The following is an 18934-nucleotide window of genomic DNA, read 5'->3' as shown; positions in this document are numbered from 1 at the left end:
ACACCTGTCTACTTGTGACAGGTAGCTAGGGCCACAGTGCATTTCAGGGCCACTGAGAGCAGACTGGCTAACATGGACCTTCTCATAAATACAGTATGGTAACAAACCAAACTAAACCCTCTGTGTCACTGAAAACACGAAATCCATCAATGTCCATCTGGCCTTTCTGTTTCAGGATCCCCACCCTTTGTGTGGCACTTACCCCCAGGTACTCCGTGGTCAGAAGCTTCTCTCCTGAGAGTTCTCCGAGCTGGGGCTGGATCAGTTCGTCTTTGTCCAGATCGGCTTCCATGATGTCATGGTCCTCCTGTTTCAGGAGACATGGGGTGAATGCCATGGACACCCTGACACAAGCTCCCAAGGCGTGGCTCCCCAGAATGTGTAGCTGTCATGAAACAAGAAGGCCTCGGCCAATCACAGCAACTTGCAGGCTTATATTCCAAGGGGGCTCAGGGGCAGTCTGCCTCTGCTCCCAACCTCTCCATGAAGACCAAAGGGACAAGGCCAACCAGCCTCTTCAGGAAGCTAGGGAGCTAGGGAGCCTCCACTGCTTAGTTGTGCGGAGGTTCCAGAAGGCTCTTTAAAGTCTCTCCTAATCACAGTTCTCAGAACTTCTCTCTCTGTGAGATCAAGGCACCATATAGAACAGCCAGTCAGTCATACACAGGCCTTATGGGGGATAGGGAACTCTAGAACAGGTCTGCTCATCTCAAGAACGTTTACAGCCAATAAGTAACAAGACTCAGCAAAAAGGGCAGCACCGTTCTGCTTCTGGGAAGACCCAGTGGATGTTCCTTTCCATATTCCTCCCACTACGTACAACCAAAAACACTGGACACTACCTATAAAAGAAACATAAAGTGACTCTGAAAGATGGAGAGATGAAAGCAGACTGCCTAGGGGCCTTGAGACCCAAGGATGACAGCTGGTGACTTCCCTGGGTTTTCTTTTCTTTTTTGAGATAGGGTCTCGCTCTGTCACCCAGGCTGCAGTGCAGTGGCATGATCACAGGTCATTGTGCCCTTGACCTCCTGGGCTCAAGTGATCCTCCCTTCTCAGCCTCCCAAGTAGCTGGAACTACAGGTGTATGCCACCACATCCGGCTACTTTTTGTATTTTTTTGTATAGACGAGGTTTTGCCAGGTTACCCAGGTTGCCTGGGTTTTCTTTTTGTTTCATATATGCCACACCTGGAGCCCAAGAAACCAACAACCCAGAAATGTCAATGGTGAAAACAAAAAAAGCCCCCCAAAGCCTGCTTCCTTTAGCCAAAGCCTGCTTCCTTTACCCAAAGCCTGCTTCCTTTAGCCAAAGGACCTGACAGGGGAAGGCTGGCATGACAGGAAGATTTTAGGAAATAAACACTGGAGAAAATATGGTAGCTCCACTCCCACCTGCGCCAGCAAGGGCCTCAGGAGCCCCAGCTGTACCCTCACCAGGCTGGGCCGCACACCCCAACACCCCTGGCGGTGGGTTCTCTATACCAGAGAAGGCTGGGTAGGCAGCAGTTTCATCCCTGCTGGGTGGTAAGGAGGCCCCCACCCCACAATGTAAGTGAAGACCAGGTGGGAGCCCAGACTTCTACCCACACTTGGCAGTGACCAGATGCCCCTCACACCCTTCCTGGGGTGGTGTTGGAGGAGCCATGTGGGGCGCAGTGAGTGACGGGGCACTCTCGTCCCTTCTAGGCAGGGAGGCATTAGTGGAGGCGTAGTGGGTTTCCGGGACCCCCCATCATCTGGTGTCAACCAGGCCAAGCATGGAACCTGGAATTCTACTCAAACCTGGCAGTAATTAGAAGACGAAATTGCGCCATCGTACTTCAGTCTGGGTGACAGAGCGAGATTCCGTCTCAAAAAAAAAAAAAAAAGAAAGAAAAAGAAAATTGAACACGCTAAGACAATTTTGAAAACAATATGGTAAGAATCGATCTACATGATTTCAAGCTATAGTAGTCCACATTGTATGCTACTGGCAGAGGGGCAGACACATAGATCAATGGAATGGAACACAGAACTCCAAAATGGACCTACACAAATATGTCCAGTGGGTTTAAGACTAAGGTACAAAAGAAATTCAATGAGAAAGGATAGTTATCTCATCAAATAGTGCTGGAGAAATTGAACATTTGTAGGAAAAGGAGTCCTGACAAGGCAAGAAAAGCAAATAAAAGCCATACAGATGAGAAAAGGAAGAAAAACTATCCCTATTTGCACATAATATGACTGTCTATGTAGAAATAAGGAATCTACAAAGAAACCACATACACACACAAAAAACCCTCCTAGAAGTAATGAATTCAAAAAGCTCACAGGATATAAGAAAGACATATAAAATCAATTTCTGTATACTAGTAAGGAACACACGAACATTGAAATTAAAAATACAATGCCATTTACAAGTGCTCAAAAAAAGAGAAATAGGCATAAATCTAACAAAACATATACAACATTTGTATGCTGAGAACTACAAAAATCTAGTGAAAGAAATCTGCCGGGCGCGGTGGCTCACACCTGTAATCTCAGTACTTTGGGAGGCTGAGATGGGCGGATCACCTGAGGTCAGTAGTTCAAGACCAGCCTGACCAACATGGTGAAAACCCATCTCTACTAAAAATACAAAATTAGCTGGGCGTGGTGGCGCATGCCTGTAATCCCAGCTACTCAGAGGCTGAGGCAGGAGGATCACTTGAACCCAGGAGGCGGAGGTTGAAGTGAGCCAAGATCACGCCACTGCACTCCAGCTTGGGCAAAAAGAGCAAAATTCTGTCTCAAAAAAGAAAAGAAAAAAGAAATCAAAAATTCAAATAAATACAGAACCACACCTCGTTCATGAATCAAGAAGACTCAACATAGTTCTCCCCATATTTATTTACAGGTGTAAAGGAATTTCTATCAAAATCCCAGCAAGATATTTTGTAGTCATAAGTAAGATTATTCTAAAATCTATATGGAAAGGGCAAAGAAAATTAAACACGTTGGCCGGGCGCGGTGGCTCACGCCTGTAATCCCAGCACTTTGGGAGGCCGAGGTGGGTGGACCATGAGGTCAGGAGATCAAGACCATTCTGGCTAACTAACATGGTGAAACCCTGTCTCTACTAAAAAATACAAAAAAAAGTAGCCCGCCGTGGTGGTGGGTTCCTGTAGTCCCAGCTACTTGGGAGGCTGAGGCAGGGGAATGGTGTGAACCCGGGAGGCGGAGCTTGCAGTGAGCCGAGATTGTCCCATTGCACTCCAGCCTGGGCGACAGAGCAAGACTCCGACTCAAAAAAAAAAAAAGAAAAGAAAAGAAAAGAAAATTGAACACGCTAAGACAACTTTGAAAAAGAAGAACAATATATGGGAAGAATCAATCTACATGATTTCAAGCTTAGTAGTCCAGATTGTATGCTACTGGTAGAGGGACAGACACATAGATCAATGGAATGGAACAGAGAACTCCAAAATGGACCTACACAAATATGTCCAGTGGGTTTTAGACTAAGGTACAAAAGAAATTCAATGAGAAAGGATAGTCCTTTCAACAAATAGTGCTGGAGAAATTGAACATTTGTAGGAAAAAAACTGAACCTCAATCTAATTCTCGTATCTTACATAAAAATCAACTCGAAATGAATCATGGACTTAAACGTAAAACTAACACATTTTTAGAACACCCATAAAAGGAAAAAATTGATAAAATGAATTTCATCAAAAAACTTAAAAACTTGTTCGGTGAAAAGACGCTGTTAAGAAGATAAAAAGGAAAGTTATAGACAGGGAGAAAGTATTTGGAAACCACATATTCAGCAGAAGACTAGTAACTAAAATAAAGAACTCTCAAAACTCAACATTCAAAATACCCAAACAATCTAATTAGAAAATGGGCAAAAGACATGAAGAGACATTTCACCAGGGAGAATATACAGATGGCAATAAGCACATGAAAAGATGTTCAATATCATTAGCCATTAAGGAAATGCAAATTAAAACCACAATGAGATATCACTACATGCCTATTAGAATGGCAAAAACAGGCCAGGAGCAGTGGGTTATGCCTGTAATCCCAGCACTTTGGAAAGCCGAGGCGAGCGAATCACTTGAATCAGGAGTTTGAGACCAGCCTGGGCAACATGGCGAAACACCGTCTCTACGAAAAAAACAAAAATTAGCCAGGCCTGGTGGCATGTGCCTGTAATCCCAACTACTTTGGAGGTTGAAGCATGAGAATCACTTGAGCCCGGGAGGCAGAGGTTGCAGTGAGCCGAGATCATGCCACCGCACTCCAGCCTGGGTGACAGAGCAAGACTCAGTGTCAAAAAAAACCAAAAAAACAAAAACAAAAAAAGCTAAACATGCAACTACATTTCGGCAATTTCTTAAAGAGGTAAACATGCAACTATACAGAACCAGCAATTATACTCCTGGGCATTTATCCCAGAGAAATAAAAACTTGTTGGCATACAAAAATCTGTATATGAATGTTTCATGGCAGCTTTATTCATAATAGCCCCAAACTGGAAACAGTAGATGCCCTTCAACAAGAGAACAGGTAAACAAATGTGGTACATACACACCACAGAATACTACTCAGAAAGAAAAGGAACTACTGATGTACACAAGCCTGGATGGATCTCCGGAGAATGATGTTGGTGAAAAAAGCCAGTCCTCAATGGTTGCATACTATATGATTCCATTTCTATAACATTCTGGAAATGATAAAATTATAGAAATGGAGAACAGATTAGTGGTTGCCAGGTGTTAAGGAGGAAATGGCGGTGGCTGTAAAAGGGATCCTTCTATGAGGGATCCTTGAGTGATGGAAACGTTCTGATCTTGAATTAAAAACAGAAGAGTTAAAAATTAAAAAACGAGCATATGTGAGATGTCACAAGGCTCTGTATACTCGAACGCCGACCGAACGGCACACACAATCATGGGGGAGCGTGCACTGCCCCTTCCTCGTCCCTGCCAAAGCTTCCGGCCAACCTTAGACTGTCCTTTGCAGGTTAAATTACAAAGAGCAATACAAATATTAACTCAGAAAGAGGGAAGCTGCTGGCTATGGAGGGAAAAATGGGAAGGAGGGGCCCTGGAGGAAGGTGGCAGCCAAGTGCTGGAGTGGTCTAAGGGTGCAGGGGGAGGGCAGGCCATCATCTCCTGGTGACAGTGTTCCCTAAGATCATCTAGCCAGTCCTTCCCTTTGACTCCTGGCCCACCCAACAATCTAATGACTATAATTGGCTCCTTGACACTTGCCAACAGGCAGAGAAAGCTCTATTCTGCAAAAATGAGTACCCTGTCTTCATTTCCGACTAATTTCTAGTTATTCAGGATGTTCTGGTCTTTGGTGAGTTTGATTTGCCCCAGTCAGTTTCCAAGGAATATGAAGGCTCAACCTCCTGGGCCTGGAAGGCAGGTTGTGGCTGGGAACTGGGCCTTGAAATGTGATGCTGCCTGTCCTAGGGCTGCGCTGGGGGAAGCTACCCCGCCTCTCCACTCTCTCAACCACATAGTCAGTGCCACCTGCCATCACTAGATGGTGTCACCTTGGGATGGGCTGTCCTAAGAAAAGGGGATTCGACTTACTCTAGGCTGTCCCCAAAGACAGGCCTGAACCAGCAGAATAAGAGGCAGGCCCCAGATCAATCCAGAGCCTTTTCCAACAATCAGCACCATCTTACTCAGGGAAGGGGCTACTGAGGAGATGCTGCTCCTGCTAGCTTGCATTTGGGGGCATTTATTTGATGTCCCTTGTCATAGAATAATTAAGGAACCCACCTTACATTTCCATAGCACTTTACATCTTAACTTTCACAATGGCTTGGTGTGGATTTTCCTGGTGTGGAAACAGAGGCCCAGAGAAGTGACAAATCCACAGCAGTAGCCCAGCTCTGAGTCTAGGAATCTGGACTTTAAGCTTGGGGCAGCCCCTTTCTGCCCAGGTCTTTGACTTGGCCTCTTGGGGCCCCACAGAAGAAGCCTGTTTCTGAGGAGGTACAGGCTGGACAGCTTGGGTCCCTGCTGCCTGGCTAAGACTGAGCTCAACAGGACACAGAGAGTAATGGGAGGGAGGGCTATAGTGGCATCTGAAGTTCAGGGTCTCGTCCCTCTCTCTCCCCTTCTCTTGTCTAATCACAAATGGAGAATCCACTCTTGCCCCACCCAGGGCCCAGGCTCACAGTTACCACTGCGATTTAAGCTCTAGTTGGGACTCATGCCCTATGGTGAGGGCAGCCACCTTCTTCTGCTGCTGCACCTGAGTTGCCAGCTCTGCCAAGTGCTAGCAGACCCGCTGTCCTGAAATTTCCTTAAAGGTAATCCTGTTGTGAGGCCCTACCCCAAGTCAACTCTGGGACGGTTACGGAAGATTGAGGTTGTTGCCTTGGCTTAGAGTACTTCACCAAAATAACAACATCTCAGTGATCAAAGGGTGTGTGTGCATTTTATGATGAATTTTAGGAAAATGAGTACTCCTTGTGAACCAAAGCAGCAGCTCTGTGGTCTGAGTGAGTGGCAGGGAGCTCTGGGCATGGAGTAGTGTTTCACCTCTTCTCCAGGGGACAGAGCCTCAGAGGCCCCAGCTGGAAATGGGCATTGGAATCACAGTTTCACCAAGGTATTGGTGAGACACTACTTCCCTGCCAGGAGGGAATACGAAACATTAAGAAACAAAATAAATGTCCATATTCCATTTCAACGAGAAACACATAGTCAATGGCTAACTTCAGTCAATGCCAGCAAAAGTGTTTCTTTATCCTGGACAAGTACATATGTAAGACCCATTTACTTGCAAATCAACTTACATAAACACAAACTAGCAAACAACACATCTCAATCACAAGTTAAAGTTATTTATTCCATTTTATTTTATTTATTGTTATTATTTTCTGAGACAGGGTCTCTTGCTCTGTCTCCCATGCTGGAAAGCAGTGGCGTAATCAAGGGCCCCATTGCAGCCTCAACTTCCCAGGCTCCAGTGATCCTCCTACCTCAGCCTCCCAAGTAGCTGGGACCACAGGCATGTACCAGTACGCCTGGCTAATTTTTGTATTTTTGGTAGAGACAGGGTTTTTCCATGTTGCCCAGGCTGGTCTCAAACTCTTGAGCTCAAGTGATCCACCCCTCTCGGACTCTCAAAGTGCTGGGATTACAGGCATGAGCCACTGCACCCAGCTCGTTTTGTTTTAATTAAACAAAATTTTTTTTTTTGAGATGGGGTTTTGCTATGTTGCTCAGGCTGGACTTGAACTCCTGGGCTCAAGCGATCTTCTGCCTCAGCCTCTGAATAGCTAGGGTTATAGGCGTGAGTCACTGTACCTGTCTTCATTTTGGTTTATTTTATTTATTTATTTATTTAGTTAGTTATCTATTTAGAGATGGAGTTTTGCTTTTGTTGCCCAGGCTGAGTGCAATGGTGTGATCTCCACTCACCACAACCTCCGCCTCCTCGGTTCAAGTGATTCTCTCGCCTCAGCCTCCCGAGTAGCTGGGATTATAGGCAGGCGCCACTACTAATTTTGTATTTTCAGTAGGGACGGGGTTTCTTCATGTTGGTCAGGCTGGTCTCGAACTCCCAACCTCAGGTGATCTGCCCACCTTGGCCTCCCGAAGTGCTGGGATTACAGGCGTGAGCCACTGTGCTTGGCCTTTTTTTTTTTTTTTAATTAAAACAAAGCTGTTTTTTAATTAAACGTACTTTATAGGCCGCGTGGCCTATAATCCCAGCACTTTGGGAGGCCGAGGTGGGCGGATTACGAGGTCAGGCGTTCAAGACCAGCCTGGCCAATATGGTGAAACCCCGTCTTTACTAAAAATACAAAAATTAGCTGGGCGTGGTGGCGTGTGCCTGTAGTCCCAGCTACTCAGGAGGCTGAGGCAGAAGAATCGCTTGAACCTGGGAGGCGGAGGTTGCAGTGAGCCGAGATTGCACCACTGCACTCCAGCCTGGGCAACAGAGCAAGACTACATCACAAAAAAAAAAAAAAAAAAAAAAGTACTTTACAATTAAATTTGCTGAGAATTGATAGGCCCTCCCTAACCTCCAGAAACACAGGACAGTTTCTGCATTTGTTCCTAATATTTGCTACCCATTAATAAAAGTTAACTTGAATTGCAGCTTAGCAGTGTGAGCAGGGGGCCTGGGGCAGAACCAGGGCCCCGCAGCTGACCTGCTCACAACAGGGACAGTTGGCTTCCGCTGCCTCAGTTTCTCTAGTGCAACATGCAGGCAAACGCTATTGTTATTTCAATGTCAAATGCATAGATGTAAGAAAACTGAGGTGAAAATCATCACCAAATTGATGGTTCTTGGTTTAAAAAGTTTTGTACCAAGGTTCTAATTCAGAAAGACATGATTCTTGTCAGCGCCTCATTTTCTCTAGCTAGTAAATGGGATCACTTGGCTGCCTCCTTTAAAATCATGACTTACTGATGGAAGAAATTTCTTAAATTCTCTGCTTTTGGAACGCCATGATACTGTGTAGATATAAACAAGTCACTGCCATGGTTTCTGAGAAACACTGAAACCGGCGAAAAGGGAACGGAGGCATCCTTAGGGCTTGGGAGGGGAGAGAGCGGAAGCAAACTGAGCTGCGCTAGTTGAGGTGGGAAGGGCAGCTTAACAAAGAAGCCAGAGCTTCATTCAACCGTTCCCAGTAACACCTGCAGGCAGAGGAGCCCACTACCTGCGGTGGGAAATGTAAGCAGAGAACCTCCCAGCAATGAAGCTTGCTGATAGCAGGCGCTTGCTCCACTTTCTCAATCAGTGCCAGGCAGATGAAAACAACTCTGAGGATGTATCTGGACTTTTAATAATGGGCAAACCCAGAGGTGAGGCCAAGAGGCACCCTCTGAGAATGCCAACTCAGGCCTTCCAGCTGGGAGGGGAGCCACTGCTGCCATCAGTTCTCCCCCCATTTTTTTTTTTAAGAGACAGGTTTTTGCTCTGTAGCTCACGTTGGAGTGCAGTGGTATGATCACAGCTCACTATAGCCTCTAACTCCTGGCCTCAAGCATTCCTCCCACCTTAGCCTCCTGAAGTGCTGGGATTACAGGCATGAGCCACCGTGCCCTGCTCGGGGAAAGAATTCTGCTAGCCTCTCTCAATGCAAGCCTGGCAAGGTGCTGGGTGCACTGGGCGACAAGGGCACCAGCCACTGTGCTAACTTGTCTGAGCTGCTTGTGAATTCCAAACGAAACGACATATTTTAAAATCTACTTTGTGAAGTAAGGGAGTGATGGATAAAGAAATACTCAAGAATAAATGCCTCGTTAGGGTGGGTCTTAAATACCATTGTTGGAGGAATTTGACTAAAATTACTGGTCTTTATGTACCAGAGCAGAATGCATCAGATTACTAATGTTAGAGCTCAGTGATAACTGATTACTTCAAGAAATTAAGAATGCCTCATAAAAAAGGCGCTCGAGCTGAGATGAATTTAGATGTCCTAATGCGAAGCTTCCCCATGGCAGCTTGGTGACCTTATGACATTACAAGATGCTTAACTGGAGGCTTTCGATACATAATACTCCAGACAAACCAGATTCTAAGCAACTGGCCTGAAAACAAAACTAAGGGTGACCACTAAATGCATTTGAAAACTCAGATTCTTACAGATAGAATGCAGAGCAGAATGTGTTCAGGCGGTTTTACACATGACAAGTGAAAGTATCCGGTGTGCTTTCCACTTGAAATAATTATAAGACTTCTATAAGTAGTTTAAATTTGAGACACCTTCTCAGAACGCTGAATTGTAAATCTCACTCTTTGTGAAAATAAGGGAAAAACACTCCACATGGGAGAGCGAGGGTGGACTGAGGTGACCAGGCCAGGCAGCGTGAGGCGCTGACTTCCCCAGTGGAATGGGCCCTGGCCACGTGTGCAGCTTTCCTCCTGAGCACGTGCCCACGACTGCAGATGGAAGCACGTCCGGGATCCTTGAGGGCTCCCCGCGACGCGGAGAAGTCTCCCTCTACATTCATTTCCCCATTCACAAAAATGCAGCCCAGGGTATGACAGTTGGTTTCACAACCAGACCAGTTCATTAAATAAGGATATGACAGAAACCGGAGAACCCAAACAACCTTTACTTCCCTAATTCTCCCAGTCTCTTGCTTTCGCCGCTCAGTTTACTTGCTTAAACTTTTTCTGTACTCTAAGCAAAAACAGCAAGAAATGTGGAGATGATGGCAAAGTCGCCCTAGGAAAAGCAGGGCTTATCGCAATATTTAATACACCCAATAAGAGAAGACCTGGAGGCTCAGTGGGACAGGAAGTGAAAGAGCAGAAAGCTTCCATGAGGTTAGAGGGAGAGGGACCCAGTGCCCCAGCAGTACCACAGACACCGCGCTTCACATGGAGAAGAGGAAGAGGGTAACCGAAATCAGGGCCCCTTCCAAACAGGATCCTAAGAGTGTGCTCAGGACACAACGGGCAAAGGGGAACAAAAGACCTAGGGACCAAGGCAGGGTATGTCCCCGCCCCAACCTGGAGCAAGTGAAGATGGGCTAGTTAAGAAGAAACCACCACTCCAGGACTGGACACACTCCTGACCCAATGAAGGGATTTTCTTACATGCCAGCAGGAATGTCATAAAGACAAAAAAAACTATTATTCAATATAATGTCTATGTTCTGAAATACTGTTTAGATGAATCTTAAAGTTTCACAGAAAAAACCTCAGGAAAAACTCCCAGGCTGCTGCTACCCAAAGTGTGGCCTGGGACCAGCCTCCTCCCACCCCTCCTTTCCCCACTGAGGGTGCTCTACTTCTCTGCCAGCTGCTTTCCATCCCCGCTCCATCCGGGCCAGCCCTGGCCTTGGCTCTCTCTAATTCTGGCCAGGCAGCACATGAGGAACCTCCACTCCAGCAGACTTCGGCTTGCCTCTAGACCAGTCAGGCCAGTCTGTCTCTAGATCGCAAGGGCGGCGTTAAAAACAGCTGACAGGCATTGAGTCTGCCTGGCACTTGACATGGATTGTTTCATTTGATCCTCACAAGCACCTGATGAAAAGGGTATTAATATTCTCGCTTTACAGATGAGAACACTGAGGCTTGGTGAGGTTCACCAGCTTGCCCAAAGCCACACACAGCTGGTAAGTTGTCAGGCAGGACTCAAACACAGGGAGTTAGCTTCTGAACCCTTTCTTGGTGTTCAGATTCTGCCAGTCACTGACTCGACATTCAGCAAGTATTAACCATGCATCTATCATTTTTGTGGGTCTCTGGCAGGTATAGAGAGGCTTCCATGCTTGGCCCCACCTGTTCCCTGTTGCCTTGGACTTGGAATAAGGACAGGAAGAGCATGCTGATCAAATGCACACATGATACAAGACAAGGATGTGATCCAATACCTCAGTGAGCTGTGACCATCAGCTCACCTGCCAATAAGATGCCTACCAGGGATTAAGACAGGTCCCAGCCTTGGCTTTAATGCCACCCCCTGCCACTGCCTTTTCTGGATTAGGCTTATTCTATATAGCTCCAGAAGAAAGACCAGCGAGTGGACACTATACGGAAGAAAAGGAAGGAAAGGACACTATCTTTTTTTTTTTTTTTTGTCCATGAGGGGCCACAGATGAACTTGCTGTTCACATCTCTGTCATGATGATTTATCCCTATTTTTACAGATGAAAAAACAAATATAAATAAAAATATAAAGGTAGACAGGGTCTTAATGAGTGAGGCTTTGAATACTACCGTTAGCAACTTGAGATTGTGCCAAGTGATGGGGAGCAAGAAAGTGTTTTAAAAGGCATCATGTGAATGTGCAAATGGGTCAGCCCTTTGGGGAGCAATTTGGCAGGATTTAGTAAAGATGAGACCCTCATCCCCCTGCATCAGCAATTCAACATCTAGGTGTGAGCTGCAGAGAAGCACTCAAGGGCATATAAGGACACGAGGATGAAGAAGCTCTTTGCTGCACTGTGGAAAACACAGGAAAGGAAGGAGAAACACACAGGGGCTTATTCTGACAATGAAATACTACATACAGCAGCTAAGTGGGTGAACTGGGTATTGGGATGAGTAAACCTCTAACACATAATGTTGAATGAAAAAAGCAAGCCAGTAAACAATTCATATAATACTAGCCACTTATGTAAAATTAAAAACCATAACAGTGTATATTATGAAAGTACAGAATCATCTGTGGAATTAATACACCAACTTCAAGATAGTGGTTAATTCTGGGGAGAGAAGGAGGGGAGGGAGAGGAAGGGATACAGCCACAGCTGTCTGTTATATTATTTTCTGTTCTTTCTGAAAAGTTTAAAATGTTCCCTAATTTAAAAATTAAGTGATCATGTCCCCGTGTGGTCCAAGCTCTGCTTTAAGAAGATGGTCTGGTGGCCACATGCAGGACAAGCTGGGAGGGCCAGAGACCGAAGGCTGGGAAGTTAGTACAGAGAGGGGTGTGAGGCTTAAGCCAGGATGTGGAGCAGAAAGGAAATGAAGGGGAAGATGAAAGTGACTTCCAGAACGATGAGCCACAGTGTGTAGACACCATCTGGAAGATGACAGCAAAGTGTAAGGGAGAGGAAGAGTCCCTGGTCACTTAGCAGTTTAAGGAGCATGGGCGCCTGGGACCGCCAGGTGATTTATGAGCCTCAGGTGTTTGTTATGCCCACATCTGGGTTAGAACCCCTTACTAGTGCCTAGCATGGGGGTGAGATGCTGGGCTGAGCATTGCTCAGGTTCGTGGCAGTTAGTTTTAGCCCATTTAGAGAAACTAAGGCTTGTACATGGCAGAATCAGGACCCGAACAGGGCTCCTGATCCTAGGATGGGGGACACTTGGCAGAGCCCAATGGCCACTTCCACCTGGATGTTCATGAGCTCTACAAGGCTACCTGGTCCCAGCGCCTTTGGGCTCAGTTCAAGTCCCAGGAATAGCCCAGCCCAGTCAGTGACTTACTGACCTCACTCAGGCAGTTTTATTTCTCACTGTAAATTAGTAAACTAGCACTTTGATCACTTAAAAATGAAAGTGACCTTCTAACAGCTTCCCTCCTCTCTCAGGATAGAAGCCAAGGTCCTTCCCCAGGCCCTAGGTGATCTGACCTCATATCCAACTCCCTCCCTGCTTCTTCCTGTTCCCGCAAGGCCCCCAATATGCTTCTGCCTCAGGACCTTGCCACTTGCTCTTCCCTCTGCCCCACTGCTCTTCAAAGCACTCATGGTCACCTGGCTATCATCTCTGCTTATTTGTTGAAGGCTTGCTTTCTCCAAATAGGATGTCTGCTTTGCTTTTACCGCTATATCCCTAGGATCTAACGACTTCTGGCCCTAGGCATATACTCCTGTTCCTGGAACAGGAGTAGGTCAGGCAATTCCTCTCTACAGTTATCAAGTGCAAAATGTGATACGTTTACTAAAAATAATCATTCCAGGACACTGGAAAATGACCAATGGCAGGCAACAACTTAAGCAGTACTTGCTCAGTGGGGAAGTGCTAGGGCACTGGGTGAGAACTGTGTGTTCATGGCCTTCCTGCCTGGAGGCGTTCCCATCGTAGGCAGTGACACCCCAGGGCCTGGAGGTGTGAACGTGGTAGAGGGCAAGTGGCAGGCACAGCTGCTAGAAATTGAAGGGGGACAGCTGGAAGCAAGAGGGCTACAGAGGTTAAGAGATGTTACAATCTCCCCACATCTCTGACTGCTAAACTACAGGTACATGCAGAAAACCCAAGGAACCCAGAGGAAGCTAACAGTGTGGGAAAACTTGCAGATAATTTTTTGTGCTTGCAAATGTATTCCTCAATCCACACACAGCTCAAGCAGCAGAAGGTGGAAACCTTACTGGCTTCAGGCATCTGAGCACAATTTCCATCCCAATCAACAGTTAAATTATGGAGGGGAGACCCTGGGATTGGAGAAAATGATAGACACACTCATGGCTGCCTTCTACAGGGGAGACACATTTCTCAGTTTAAGAGCAGGCAAGTTAACTGCTTACCAAACAAATGAAAGCAACAGCCCTCAGGAGAGCAAAACGTAATCTAGAATCACGACAACACGTTATCTATAACGTCTGGTTGTCAACCAAATGCATTACTAGATACAGCAGAAACAAAGCGTGACCTGTCCTTGGGGGAAAAATAGACAAGAGAAACTAACTTTGAGTGGGCCCAGATGTTAGATTTAGTAGAAAAACACTTCAAAGCAGCTATTATAAATATGCTCAAAGAATTAAAGGAAAATGTGCTCAGAAGTTTTAAAAAAAATACTGAAAATCAGTGAAAAACGGGAAATCTCAACAGAAAAATAGACACTATAAAAAGGAACCAAATGGGAATTCTAGAGCTGAAAAGTACAATAACTGAAATGAAGAATTCAATAGATGAGCTCAACAGCAGATACAAAAGGGTAAAAGAATCAGTTAACTGGAAGGACGATCAACAGAAAGTATCCAGCTCAAAGAAGAGAACAAACATTGGATAAAAATGAAGAAATCCTCAGAAATCTGTTAGACAATATCAGCATTCTAACATGTGTGCAACTGGATTTTCAGGAGGAGAGGAAAGGGGCAGAAAATAACACTTGAGTAAATAATGGTTATACACTACTCAAATTTGGTTTAAAAAAAAAAAAACCCCAAAACAAACACACACAAAAAAAACACTGTAACTTATAGATCCAAGAAGTTCCAGGCCGGGTGCAGTGGCTCACACCTGTAATCCTAGCACTTTGGGAGGCCAAGGCAGGAGGATTGCCTCAGGTCGGGTGTTCGAGACCAGTCTGGCCAGCATGGTGAAACCCTGCCTCGACTAAAAATATAAAAATCAGCCAGGCATGGTGGCAGGCGCCTGTAATCCCAGCCACTCAGGAAGCTGAGGCAGGAGAATCGCTTGAACCCAGGAGGCGGAGGTTGCAGTGAGCCACGATTGCGCCATTGAGCTCCAGCCTGGGCGACAGAATGAGACTCCGTCTCAAAAAAAAAAAAGTTCCATGAACCCTAAAAAAGATTAACACAGAAAAACCCACACCTAGGTACATCATAGACAAACCGCTAAGAACCAAAGAAAAAAAATATTCAAAAGTAAGGGGAAAACAACCCATTACATACAGGGGAGCAATGATAAAATATGCAATTAACAGCTGGCTTCTTATCATAAACAATGGGGCTGGGCGCAGTTTGAGACCAGCCTGGCCAACATGGTGAAACCCCATCTCTACCAAAAATACAAAAGTCAGCCAGGTGTGGTGGTGCATGCCTGTAATCCCAGATACTCAGGAGGCTGAGGCATGAGAATTGCTTGAACCTGGGAGGTAGAGGTTGCAGTGAGCCAAGGTCAAGCCACTGTACTCCAGCTTGGGTAACACAGTGAGACTCTGTCACAAACAAACAAAACAAAACAATGGAAGCCAGAAGACAAAAGAATGACCTATTAAAAGTGCTGGGGAAAAAACACCTGTTGACTAAGAATTCTTTTTTTTTCTTTCTTTTTTTTTTTTGAGATGGAGTCTTGCTCTGTCACCCAGGCTGGAGTGCAGTGGTATGATCTCGGCTCATTGCAACCTCCGCCTCAATTCAAGTGATTCTCCTGGGTTCAAGCGATTCTCCCACCTCAGCCTCCCAAGTAGCATGTGCCACCACGCTTGGCTAATTTTTTATATTTTTAGTAGAGATGGGGTTTCACCATGTTGGCCAGGCTGGTCTCGAACTCCTGACCTCAGGTGATCCACCTGCCTCGGCCTCTCAAGGTGCTGGGATTACAGGCATGAACCACTGCGCCCTGCCAACTAAGAATTCTATATGCAGTGAAACTATGCTTCAAAAATGAAGGTGTTTTGACCAAATCAAGTAGCAATTAAAAAGAAGGTGAACTAAAGAAAATTCCAGATTAAAAAAAAAACAAAACAGAATTTGTTGTTAAGAGACCAGCATTACAGAGCACTGGAAATGGTAAATATGTAGGTGGAGATACACACACACACACACACACACACACACACACATACATACACACATGTTCCTTCTTTAAATGATACATGACTATTTATAGCACCGGGTTGATAATAAACATAAATGTAGCAAATATGGCAACAAGAGCACAAAAGAGGAACAGAAATCGAGCCTACTGATGCAAAGTTCTTCTATTTGACCAGTAATAAATCAGTATTAACTCAAAGTAGTTTGTGACAAGTGAAAGATGCATACTGAATCCCTAGAACCAACTTACAAACAAAAAGGCAAATACGGCTAAAAAGTTAGTAGAGTTATTAAAATGGTTTACTAAAAAATATTTGCTTAATACAAAGGGCAGCAGTACATATATTACTTAATACAAAAGAAGGCAGGAAGGACAGAGTAACAAAGAGATAAATAGAACACTGATAGCAAATGGCAGAATTAAACCCAACCGTATCAATTATTACATTAATATGAATATTAAACAAAACAATTTTGAAAAAGAAAACAAAGTTGAAGAACTCGTGTTTTGAAACCTACTATAAAGCTATAGTAATTAACATCATGTGGTACTAGCATAGAGCTAGACATATGAATCAAGTGAACAAAATTGAGAGTCCAGAAATAAATTCTTACATTTGTGGTCAATTTATTTATTTATTTATTTATGAGATGGAGCCTTGCTCTGTTGCCCAGGCTGGAGTGCAGTGGCACAATCTCGGCTCACTGTAACCTCTGCCTGCAAGGTTCAAGCAGCTCTCCTGCCTCAGCCTCCTGAGTAGCTGGGACTACAGGTGTGCGCCACCACGCCTGGCTAATTTTTTTGTATTTTTAGTAGAGATGGGGTTTCACCATGCTGGCCAGGCTGGTCTTGAACTCTTGACTTCGTGATCTGCCCACCTTGGCCTCCCAAAGTGCCGGGATTACAAGCATGAGCTACTGCGTCCAGCATTTTTTTTTTTTTTTTTTGAGATAGAGTCTTGCTCTGTCACCCAGGCTGGAGTGCAGTGGCATGATCTTGGCTTACTGCAACTTCTGCCTCCCAGGTTCAAGTGATTCTCCTGCCTCAGCCTCCCAAGTAACTGGGACTACAGGCATGCACCACCACACCCGGCTAATTTTCGTATGTTTAATAGAGATGGGGTTTCACCATATTGGTCAGGCTGGTCTTGAACTCCTGACCTCATGATCCGCCTGCCTCGGCCTCCCAAAGTGCTGGGATTATGGCCACCGCACCCGGCCAATTTATTTTTTACAAAGGTGTTATTTGACAAAGCAATACAACGGGTTGAATAATAGTCTTTTCAACAAATGATACTGGGGCAACTGGATATTCATATGCAGGAGGGTGAATTTAGATCTTTATCTCACATCACACACAAAAATTAACTAAAAATGGTCCTATACCTAAACATAGGAGTTAAAACAACAAAGCCCTTAGAAGGAAACATAAAAGAAAATCTTTGCAATGTTGGCCTAGGCCAATGGTTTCCAACTAGGAGTAATTTTGCCTCCTAGGGGACATTTAGCAACGTCTAGAAACATTTTTGGTTGTGACAACTGGGAAGAGGGGTGGATTAATACTAGCATCTAATGGGCAGAGGCCATGGATGCCGCTAAACACCCAATAACGCATAGCACAGCCTCCCCAACAAAGAATTATCTGGCCCAAAATGTCAATAGTGCCAAGGTTGAGAAAGTCTGGGTTGGGCAAAAAGTTCTTAGATACAACAACAAAAGCAGAGACCATAAATGAAAAAATGAAAAAGATAAACTAGACCTCATCAAAATAAAAAACTTTTACAAATCAAAAGACACTATTAGGAAAATGACCTGGCGCAGTGGCTCACACCTGTAATCCCAGCACTTTGGGAGGCCAAGGCGGCGGATCAGCTGAGGTCGGGAGTTCGAGACCAGCCTGACCAACATGGTGAAACCCCATCTCTACTAAAAACACAAAATTAGCCGGGCATGGTGGCGCATGCCTGTAATCCCAGCTACTTGGGAGGGTGAGGCAGGAGAATCACTTGAACCTGTGAGGCGGAGGTTGTAGTGAGCTGAGATTGCGCCATCACACTCCAGCCTGGTCAATAAGAGTGAAACTCCGTCTCAAAAACAAAAAACAAAAAAAAAAAAAAAAAGAAAAGATGGCTGGTGTGGTGGCTCATGCCTGTAATCCCAGTACTTTGGGAGGTCAAGGTGGGAAGATCACTTGAGCCCAGAAGTTTAAGACCACCCTGGGCAACATAGTGGGATTCCGTCCTACCAAAAAAAAAAAAAAAAAATTAGGCAGAAGTGGTGGCACACACCTGCAGTTCCAGCTACTCAAGGAGGCTGAGGTGGTAGGATCCCTTGAGCCCAGGAGGTGGAGGTTGCAGTGAGCCGTGATTGCACCCCTGCACTCCAGCCTGCGTGACAAGAGTGACACCCTGTCTCAAACAAACAAAAAAAAGAAAATGAAAACACTAGCCACATGCATACGATATAAAATCTCCAGAAAAGGCAAATATCTAGAGACAGAAGCAGATTGATGGTTACCTGGGGTTTGTGGGGGTGGGGGACCCAGGCAAGGGCTGACTACAAATGTGCACAAGGGAGCTTTGCAGGGTGATGAAAATATTTTAAAATTGAATTGTGGGGATGGTAGCACAACTCTATAAATTTACTAAAATTCATGGAATTATACATTTACTTAAAACAGATGAATTTTATGGTATATAAATTATATCCTCAATAAAACTGTCAAAAATGTGAACACACTAAATAAATACTCCAATCAAAGGCAGATTGTCGGACTGGATTAAAAAAGCAAAAGCTAGCTATATCCTGTCTACAAGAGAAGTACTTTATATTAAAAGACACGAATAGGTTGAAAGTAAAAGAATAAAACATGTCATGCAAACAGCAAGCATGAGAGAGCTGAAGTGGCTATATTAATATTGGACAGACCAAATATTCTAGAGACATTATTAGAGACAAAGGACATTTCATGGTGATAAAGGGTCAACACTGTTGGATGATAGAATTACAAACATATATGCT

The 18934-nt window shown here is 44.9% G+C and overlaps 1 protein-coding gene across 10 annotated transcripts in view, besides 2 other annotated features; it reads right to left on the bottom strand.

The window, feature by feature from the left end:
* Positions 1–18934, bottom strand: part of ARMC9 (armadillo repeat containing 9) — a 178218-nt gene that overhangs the window by 44749 nt on the left and 114535 nt on the right. For 9 of the 10 annotated variants that reach the window (NR_148040.2, NM_001271466.4, NM_001352754.2 and 6 more), the window contains one exon: positions 203–307. The exons of the other annotated variant lie outside the window; for it this stretch is intronic. Coding sequence is in view for 8 of the 9 variants with exons in the window: in NM_001271466.4 (NP_001258395.2) it covers positions 203–307 (105 nt within the window). In the remaining variant the exon portion in view is untranslated. The remainder of the gene's footprint in view (positions 1–202; positions 308–18934) is intronic. 10 annotated transcript variants of the gene reach the window in all.
* Positions 14313–14812: an enhancer, noted in NCBI's record as "H3K27ac hESC enhancer chr2:232182001-232182500 (GRCh37/hg19 assembly coordinates)". NCBI's record gives its function as "activates a minimal SCP1, AML or CMV promoter by ChIP-STARR-seq in naive H9 embryonic stem cells {active_cell/tissue: H9 hESC(naive)}" and the evidence as "EXISTENCE:reporter gene assay evidence [ECO:0000049][PMID:30033119]".
* Positions 14813–15314: an enhancer, noted in NCBI's record as "H3K27ac hESC enhancer chr2:232181499-232182000 (GRCh37/hg19 assembly coordinates)". NCBI's record gives its function as "activates a minimal SCP1, AML or CMV promoter by ChIP-STARR-seq in naive H9 embryonic stem cells {active_cell/tissue: H9 hESC(naive)}" and the evidence as "EXISTENCE:reporter gene assay evidence [ECO:0000049][PMID:30033119]".

The sequence above is a fragment of the Homo sapiens genome, chromosome 2 (assembly GCF_000001405.40).
Source record: "Homo sapiens chromosome 2, GRCh38.p14 Primary Assembly".
Classification (NCBI taxonomy): Eukaryota; Metazoa; Chordata; class Mammalia; order Primates; family Hominidae; genus Homo; species Homo sapiens.
Note: the sequence above shows the minus strand (reverse complement) of the source record. Positions and strands in the feature narration are given on the sequence as shown.